The 9,943-nt window shown below is 46.9% G+C and overlaps 1 annotated feature.

Moving 5' to 3' along the window:
• Positions 5,916–5,985: a silencer, noted in NCBI's record as "silent region_18095". NCBI's record gives its function as "represses an Ori minimal core promoter by ATAC-STARR-seq in GM12878 lymphoblastoid cells {active_cell/tissue: GM12878}" and the evidence as "EXISTENCE:reporter gene assay evidence [ECO:0000049][PMID:35858748]".

Raw genomic sequence — 9,943 nt, 5'->3', positions numbered from 1 at the left:
CAAATCACTTCCTAGGACATTGTATTAAAAATTCTGTCAAGATGGATGGGTGAGATTTGTGTATTTGATCAAGCAGATACTTCCAGGAGGGCTGAAATGGGATATGTTGAGCAAGGCTGGCGTTTCTAAAGTCTGGTGCCCTGTGTGCTGCCTAGGAGAGATGGTAAAAACCTTTGCCAAATACTTGGAGGCAAGGTTGTCTCTGATAGGGGTGAGAGTGAGGTGGGGCAGGGATAGAGTTTGTTGGGGAGCAGATTGATGTCTCCTGGGTTGGAGGCAGGAGGCATCGGTTCTAACTCTTCCCCCTCCTTTTCTCTATCTCTTCCTCCCTTTCTTTCAATTGCCACATTCAGAGATGTTCTGAAAAATAGCTCTGGGGTGGGGTGTGGTAAATAAGTGTTAGAAATGAGGAAATCTCACTGGCTGTCTTGCTTTTAAACAGGGTCTCCTAAGCCAATGGTGCAGACTCCAAGAGTAGAATGCTTATTGTAGAATATAGCTCATATATGTCCTGAAAAAGGCCCAAGGAAAAAAAGTTACTTAAAAAATATATATGTTTTACTTTTTTTGAGAAGGTAATGTATTCACACAGTTCAAAGTTCAAAAATTCTAAGTACAACACTGAAATTTCTTCTTTCTTTCTCTGAAAGTCTGCTTAGTTCTTGCTCTCTTAAACAAGTTACTACTATTGTTTGTTTCTGGTATACCCTTCCAAGGTTGTTTTTGAAATGCATCTCCAAGCCAATACAGAGAGTATTTTCCTCCCCTTTTACAAGTGGTTGTTGATAACTACTTCGGTTCTGTACTTTGCTTTTTCACTCAACAATATCACTCTTCAGAGCTCGGAATGCAGTTTTTGCCCACAAAAACGTGGGTTCTTTGGCTTGAAGCATGTATATATATATATATATGATTGGCTTGAATCATATATACCTTTATAGTATATATCTTTTAAAAATTGCAATATTAGTACATATTCATTGAAAAAAATATAAAATATAAAATCAGTTCTAATCCTATAATCTAGTGATAACCAGCATTAATTTTTTGGTTTATATTCTTCTAGACTTTGTCTTAAGGATGTGTGTATATTTTTTTTTCTATAAAAATGAAATCATATGTGACATATTGCTTATAGCTAATTTTAGGAAATATCCTTGTTTATTTCCTTAGAGTAAGTTCTTTGAAGTAAACTTCCTTAATGAGTGGGTATGCACTTTGCAAAGGTGTTTAATGCATATTTCCAAGTTGTTCTATGGGAAAGTTGTACCACCAGTGGAAAAAGGGAGGTTCTTTACCCAGGAATCTGCACAAATACTGCCATCTTACAAAAACATAAACAAACTTAAACATTGTCAGTGTAATGGTCCAGTGAATCTCATTTTAATTGGTGTCTTGGTGATTCTCAGGCAACTTTAGCATTCTGCATATGTTTAGGGCCATTTATGTTTATTCTTTTTTTTTTTTTTTTTTTTTTTTTTGAGACGGAGTCTCGCTCTGTCGCCCAGGCTGGAGGGCAGTGGCATGATCTCGGCTCACTGCAAGCTCTGCTTCCCAGGTTCATGCCATTCTTCTGCCTCAGCCTCCCAAGTAGCTGGGACCACAGGTGCCCACCACCACACCCGGCTAATTTTTTTGTATTTATAGTAGAGACGGCATTTCACCATGTTAGCCAGGATGGTCTTGATCTCCTGACCTCATGATCCGCCTGAATTGGCCTCCCAAAGTGCTGGTATTACAGGCATGAGCCACCACGCGTGGCCTATTTATGTTTATTCTTTTGTGGATTGCTTTTTCATCTTACTTTCTTGTTTTTCTGTTGGGATGTTCTTCTTTCTCTGATTAATTTGAATTGATCAATCAGATTATCAATTAATTTGAATTTATTAAGTGATTAATTTTGCTCCCTGGTTAATTCAGGCCCTGCAGACAGACATTATATTCATTCCTCCCATTTTGCTTGCAGGGCCCTGGCTGTGAGGGTGGCGAGCAGAGCTAACCTGTGCTCCTTTGGCCAATTCACTTGTATTTGGCTTGTTTTCAAGGTTCCTGTGATACCCCATGATCTATTGAGATGAACACTGCATAGGATGGTAGGAATCAGGAATCAGAAAGTGTAAACTCTGTGTTAAGAAATATTTCTTTAGTAGAAAATCAAATTCTCAAAATAAAACTCCTCCCCCTAAAATTTTAATGTTCGAGATACAAAAAATGCTTGCTTATTAAATGCTGTTACATCCCTGTAATAGATGTTGTAATTATAATATAACTGTGTGACTTCCTGCCACATGTCAGCACAGCTCTGGCATTGCATAGGCTTTTGCTGATGTGGTTCTGGATAGACAGGCCAGACTTGGAGTCGTGTCCTACCACTTACCAGTTATGTGACCTCAAATTAGTTACCTGATCTCTCCAAGCCTCAGTTTCTTCCTCTGGAAAATGGAGATGACCATCGGAGCTAACTCATAACAGTATTTCAGGGATTGAATGAGAAAATGAACTTCAAGGCAAATAGTAAACACTGAATTATTATTTCTACTATCTGTTATTATCATTATATTTTACTATAATCATGATCGGTCTGAGATTTCCTCCAGGAAATACGTCCTGAGGTCCAAACAATTTATTCACAAACTCTCTTTGAGAATACAATTGATTGGTTGGCTTTTCATTCCCCGATATATCATTGACGTTCTTTTTTCTTTTTCTTTTTTTGACGGGGTCTTGCTCTGTAGCCCAGGCTGGAGTGCAGTGGTGCAACTTTGGCTCACTGCAGCCTCCACCTTCTGGGCTCAAGCGATTCTCCCGCCTCAGCCCCCCAAGTAGTAGAGGGGACTACAGACATGCGCCGCCATGCCTGGCTAATTTTTGTATTTTTTTTTTGTAGACCTGGGGTTTCACTATGTTGCCCAGGCTACTCTTGAACTCCTGGGCTCAAGTGATTCTCCTGCTGTGGCCTCCCAAAGTGCTGGGATTACAGGCGTGAGTCACTGTGCCAGCTGATGTTCTTTATATTCCCCAAATTGTATTGAATTCTCTTAAACTCTTAAAACCAAGGACATGAAAAACAATGAACACACCAGATCTTGCACACAGAATACTTAAAAATGTCTGCTGAAAGAGAGAAAGCTAGGATGCAAACACTAACAATATAAAAATTGTCATTTGTTCACTAAATGTATATTGAGTGAAAGAATGGATGTTGTCCTGTCTTGGATTCTTCCCTCAGAGGGAAGCCTGGGCGACAGAGCAAGACTCCGTCTTGGATAAAAAACAAAGAAACAAAAAACAAAAAAACCAAAAAGCTAGATATCATCTTGGTATCTCCTCCCTTGTGGTTCATTTAAGCAGCCTCCCTGTTCTTACTTTCCAGTGAGGCGTTTACGGCCATAATCATTGGGAAAAGAGGCCCATGGGGATTTCTGCGTCACTAATGTGGATCCACAGACCAAGAAAGTGGAAAGCCATGCCACGAAGGGTGGCAGCAGAAGCAGCTGCCATGCTGTTTCTGGCTGAATAAACCAGACTTAAAAGCTGGAACTTGATAGAGCCCCTGTAGTTGAGTGTTATTGAATATTCAATTATTTATTAGATTTACCATCGCCACGCACAGGACCAGTGCCATCCTGAAGATGTCAGAGCCACCCACACTTCACAAAGTGAGGGGAAAAGTGGTGCCGTGGGTTAGAGTTTCTGTGGGACTCTAGTCTGGTACTGGACCCCCTGAAAAGAAGGTTCTGGCATCACGGTTGTTTGAGGAAAAGGCACCTGCCCCAACCCCCTCACAGGGCTCTGAATACACATTAGCTTTGAAAGACGAGAATCCCCACCATCAGGGCCTCTGTGGATGTCTGTTCACTGTGATTACCTCCTCACCTTTATCTGCTGATAGAAGCCCACGTTTGACGCACATTTATTAACATCCCAAGACAGTGCTGTTCCCAGAATACCTTTGGCAAATGATGTTTTTGGCCATTCAGTCTATTCATCTGTGTAGAAAGAACCTTGCTTTCATATTATCGGGCCTGGTTTCAACAAACAGACATATACTGAATCTCTACCGTGTCAGCCACTGAGTGATGTGCAGAGTGTAGGGGATGGGACAGAGGGTGTGAGGGGCTCTGTCTGGTGGGAGCTCCCTGGAGGGAGGTGTTGTAAGTACAGTGTACTGGTGAGGCAGGTGCTATAATGGACAGGCAGGGTATATAGAGTAGTAGCTAGGAGTACAGGCTTTGCCATCAGAAACCCCTGGGTTCAAATCCCAGCCCCGCTTCTTCACAGCTGTGAGCTGTGACTCATCCCCTTTGTCTTCCTTTGTGAAATGTGGGTGATCTCCCTTTTACAGTTGCTCTGAGATGAGGGAGAGGACATGGTTAAAGCACTTCCACAAGGTTCAACTCAGAGCAGGTACCCCATAAACATGGCTATTATTCTTGTGGAATGCCACAGCAACTGTGGGGTAGAAGATGAACAAAACCCAACCTGGAATGTTCAACCCTGGCAGGGCTTATGTTGGCCAAGTAAGAACATGAACATGTGCCATGAAGGTGCCCAAAGAACCTCCAACAGGGTGATCTGGCCCTTTAAGGAGGTCGGGGAGGGCTTCCCCAAGGAGATGTGACCAGGCGGACAGAGGAGGGAAGAGCATTTCAGGCTGAGGGCTCAGAGTGTACTAGACTCTTTGGAGGTGAAACCGAGGGTCCGAGCGGAGGTGGGTGGGCTGGAGAGCAGAAGAAAAGAGGCCGTGGAGTGAGGGAGGGGCTGGGAGGCAAGACCAGACCAGGAAGGGCCGCGGGGGTGGCTTTGGTTTCTGTCAGAGCAATGAAAGCCATGCGAAGGTTTCAGCAGAAAGCTTTGTTTGAATTTTACTACAGGGTGCTGTGGGAGGAAGGAGAGGTTGGGGGGGCCACCATGCTGTGCAGGGGCGAGCCAGGGAAGATGTCTTGGAGGCGCTGGCCTTGAAGATTGAGGGCAAATCTAGGGAAAGAGCATTCCAGTCTCTCTAGCCTCAACAGAGAACCACAGCACAGCAAAAGCTTGTTCCTCTGCCTGGATTCAAGCTGTCTGTTCCCACGGAGGGAGTATGTGCTGACTGGTTGGAATCGCAGTTCACCTTCCTATGGAAAGGATGGCTGTCAAGCAGTGACTTCTAAGGCAAGTTCTGAGAGCCTAGGCTTGGGTGGATGGTTGCCTGATGGTTCTCATTGTAGGAGAGGGCCGCATGGCATAGAGCAGGGAGCTTCCACCTTCCGGAACAACAGCTCGGCAACGTGTTGGCCCATTGGCAATTGGTCATTAGTAATTGCTAAAGGACCAACGGTTTGTGGACAATTCACTTGTCTTATAAATTAGCACATAGGCAAAGATTGCTGTATGATAATTGCACCCATGCACATGTGTTTCCCCTTCATCGTTCCAGAATAAGGGGTAAAGAGGGTGAAATGAGAAGTTCAGGGATGTGCATGATTTGCAGATTTTTAGACTTGCGGAGGCCTCAGGGAGCAATCTTACTGCTGAAACCTTATTTAGTTGTGTCAACTGCAGTTAGGGCTTGTGATTTCTGATACTGCTGGAAGTTTTATTTTCTTTTCAATTGTAACCTAGGGATACATTTTTCATAAGATGAAAGGAGGGCACAGCTGGTGGCCGAGGGAGGGAGCAGACCATCTGCCTGCAACTGTGGCTCTGGTCTGGGAAGGTCCTGTCCCTTGTGTTGCAGCCCACACACAGTTGAGAACCAAGGTGCTCCGTAGGGGCCCCAGGACTGGTGATTAGGAGGCTGAGCTCCTGGCCCATTTCTGCCCTATCCTTAAACAAACCACTTGTGCTCTCCAGGGCTCATGGACTCCGCAGAGGTTGTGTGAGGCCGCACTATAGACGCGCGAGTCGGTAAAAGGGCCATTGCCGCGCTGCCAGCACTAGGTGGCGCCAGTGCCCAGATGATCCGCACTGGCGGCGCGTGGTACCGCCCAGCGCTAAGGGCTGAGTCCGGATCAGTAAAACGAGCAGTCCTTAGCGTGAAGTTCGATAGGTGTCTGTCGCGGTGGTCTCTGCCTTCGGTCTGTCCCCTCCCCAGACCCCCCGCGTGCTCCCACTTCCCCTACACCCCGCACCTCTCATATGTTCCAGGCAGGGATGCGGCTCACCCGGCAATGCTCTGCCCCGGGGGGTGCTCGAGTCCTATCCCCCAACTCCGCCCCCCCGCCCCCCGCCCCGCCCTGCCGCGGGCCCAGAGTCAGCCTGGGCGGTCCTGAAAGCAGGTCCCCAGTCCGCACTTCTTTCTCCTTCGGGGTTTGGGTGTGTCTGTGGGCTTTGTTTTCCAGGTGTGTCTCAGTCCTCCAGTTCAGAAGGCGGTGGCTGGGAGGAAATGACCTTGGCCTTCTGGGGGTTCACTTGGCCTAGGGCCCTTAACATATCCTGCAGGTCCCCGGCTGTCATGTGCCCCTTATCGGAGTGACATGGGCAGGTTAGCCAGCCTCCTTGGGCCTTGTTTGGGGCCAGACTACATCTACTTTGCGGTGAGGATTTACTGAGGCAGCCTGTAAAAGGCCCCTTCCCAGTGCCTAGTTCAGAGCAGAGATCAATGAGTATCATTCATTCACTCACTCATTCACTCATGCCAGGATATGAGCAGTTCCCACCCTTACTCCGGGGTGTGCAGGGAAGGTGCCACCCACTAGACTTTCCTTTGGTGGCCTGGGAGAGTCTGACATCTCACGGGAGAGAGCGGCTCTGCTTCCTTCTCCACAGTTTGGGAAGGTGCTGCCGAGGCCTTAGCTGCCACGACGTCGTGTTTGGCTTGGCAATAGGGAGGATTTCTTGTCCTGGACTTGGCTTCTCTTCTGATTTCAGTCATGGGTTTGGGCCGTGCAGCCACTGGGAGCAGCGCCCTGTTGTCTAGAAGGTTGTTCTGTGTCCCATCTCCCACTGGCACACAGGCAGTCACTGCGGCAGGTCAAAGGGCCAGGGCCAGAGTCCCCAGGTTGCTGTGGCCTAACTATGAGAGTGTGCTCAATGCGAGGGATGGCTGACCTTTTAGACTGATTGGTTTCAGAACTGCAAATAATAGGAGTGATTCATGACCCTCTAGTGGACTCTGCTATCTGTAACTAGAACGTGGATTTGGGTAGGAGGAGCCCTTGGTTGGTGAAATAGAATCAAGCTCCTGTGTGTCTTGGGGTGGAGGTTGGAGGGGAGCCCCTGGCTGGTGCTGTCAGTCCTTGGTGGGCCTCAGAACTTGGCCCACCCAGTGGTGTCTCCAAACAGAAATGGAAACCCAGCTTCTTGCCTGGACTCTTTACCCTTACATTGGAGAGGCCCCCTGGGGGCCCAGCAGGGGAGATGGGTACAACCAGACCCACCACTCAAGACCATGGTGTCCCCATATGCTGTGAGGATTAGAAGAGATGGTACTTGGGATGGCTTCCGACCAGGTGCATGGTGTATAGGAGCTAATCAAGCAGCTCCCGGCTCCCTTCCCCTTCTCCCTTCAGCGCTGCTCTAGTGAGACGGATGGAGGCCACAGAATCCTTTCTTCCCCTGGAGAGGGCCTGGGGACATCTGCACCTGATGGTCAAAAGTATGTTCTCACAGGTTTCCTAGAGGGAGCCTTGGTCTGGGAGGTACTGGGCCTTCACCTCACTCCTGGTGTGTTTGTTTCCTGGCAAAGTGACTGCAGGGAGGTCACAGGGCCCTTGCGGGCCTTGGTTTGGGCTGACTGCTGCCTTATGGGTCCCAAATTCCTTGCCAGCTGCAAGAATGCATGATGAAAGGAAAGGCTGCCCCATGCTGCGTGATGGCATGACTGGGGGTGGCGCCGCACAGCCCAATCTCCCTGTGGGGTAAAGAAAATCACTCTCACCCCTGCTGAGCTTCAGTCCTTGCAGGCAGAGTAAGGAGACAGCCCATCACGAAGGACACCTGCATCTCAGCTTGCCAGCTCGGAACACACAGGTGAGAATCAGTGCAGGACACCTGTTGTCAACTCTGGGTGTGCATTAGAATTATCCAGAAAGGTTTTCTAAAAATTTTTGACTGGCCATGGTGGCTGACACCTGTATTCCCAGCACTTTGGGAGGCCGAGGGAGGTGGATCACCTGAGGTCAGGAGTTCGAGACCAGCCTGCCCAACATTGCAAAACCCCATCTCTACTAAACACACAAAAAAATTAGCCAGTCGTGGTGGCGTGCGCCTGTAATCCCAGCTACTCAGGAGGCTGAGGCAGGAGAATCGCTTGAACCTGGGAGGCGGAGCTTGCAGTGAGCCGAGATGGTGCCACTGCACTCCAGCCTGGGTGACAAGAGTGAAACTCCATCTCAAAACAAACAAACAAAAAACAAGCAAAACAAAACTTTCTATGCCCGGGCACCTGAGATCTGTTAAATCATGATCACTGGAGTGGGGCCATAATTTTTAACCTACCCTGGAGGGTTTTAATGAATAGCCAATGGTGAGACCCACCTTGGAGCCCCATCTCTGCTTGCAAATACCATGTATTTAATGCCACAGGTCCCCTTGCTTTCCACATCCCCTGGGAAGGGCTCTTCACCCTTTCTCACCACTCAGAGTTGCCTCACCTAGTGTATCTATTATACTCAATGGATCTGATCTGTTGGAGCACACTCACACCTTTTTGTAGTGTAGCACTTTAGGCCTTTTAGAAAGTAGTTATTTTTCATTAAAAATAAAAATTGTGTATATTTATGGTATACCACTTGATATTTCAAAATATGTATACATTGTCCACTATAGGATGCTATACAGCTACAAACAAGAACAAAATCATGTCCTTTGCAGCAACATGGATGCAGCTAGAGGCTATTATCCTAAGTGAACTAATGCAGAAACAGAAAACCAAATACCGCATGTTCTCACTCATAAGCTAAACATTGGGCACACATGGTGTATTAGTCTGTTCTCACACTGCTACAAAGAATTACCTGAGACTGGGTAATTTATGAAGAAAAGTTTTTTTTTTTTTTTTTTTTTTCTGGGACGGAGTTTCACTCTTCTTGCCTACGCTGGAGTGCAATGCAAGATCTCGGCTCACTGCAACCTCCGCCTCCTGGGTTCAAGAGATTTTCCTGCCTCAGCTTCCCGAGTAGCTGAGATTACAGGTGCCCATCACCATGCTTAGCTAATTTTTTTTTTGTATTTTTAGTAGAGACGGGGTTTCACCATGTTGGCCAGGCCAGTCTTGAATTCCTGACCTCAGGTGATCTGCCTGCCTCGTCCTCCCAAAGTGCTGAGATTACAGGCGTGAGCCACTGCACCCGGCCAGTAAAGAAGTTTAATTGACTCACAGTTCCACAGGCTTAACAGGGAGCATGACTGGGAGGCCTCAGTGACTGTAAGAGTCATGGCAGAGGATGAAAGTAAAGCAAGCGCATCTTCACGTGGTGGCAGGAGAAAGACAGAACAAAGGGGGAAGTGCCTCACACTTTCAAAAAACCAGATCTTGTGAAATCTCATTCACTATCATGAGATCAGCAAGGGGAAGTCTGCCACCACTATTCAGTCACCTCCCATCAGGCCCCTCTCCTGACACGTGGGATTACAATTTGAGATGAGATTTGGGTGGGGACACAGAGCCAAACCATATCACAAGGACATAAAGATGAGAACAACAAACACTGGAGTACAAAACAGGGGAGATGGGGGGCAGGCAAGGGTTGGAAAACAACCCATTGATACTATGCTCACTACCTGGGTGATGGGATCAATTATACTCCAAATCTCAGCATCACACAATATACCTTTGTAACAAACCTGCATGTGTACCTCCTGAAGCTAGACTGTAACCTAAAAAATAAAATATGTATACATTGTGAAATGGCTTAATAAAGCTAATTAACATAGGCATTGCCTCACATACTCCTTTTTTAGTGGTGAGAATACTTACAATCTACTCTCTCAGCAATTTTTAAGTATACAATGCATTGTT

The sequence above is a fragment of the Homo sapiens genome, chromosome 7 (assembly GCF_000001405.40).
Source record: "Homo sapiens chromosome 7, GRCh38.p14 Primary Assembly".
In the NCBI taxonomy this organism is placed as follows: domain Eukaryota; kingdom Metazoa; phylum Chordata; class Mammalia; order Primates; family Hominidae; genus Homo; species Homo sapiens.
This window is presented reverse-complemented; position numbering and strand designations above follow the sequence as displayed.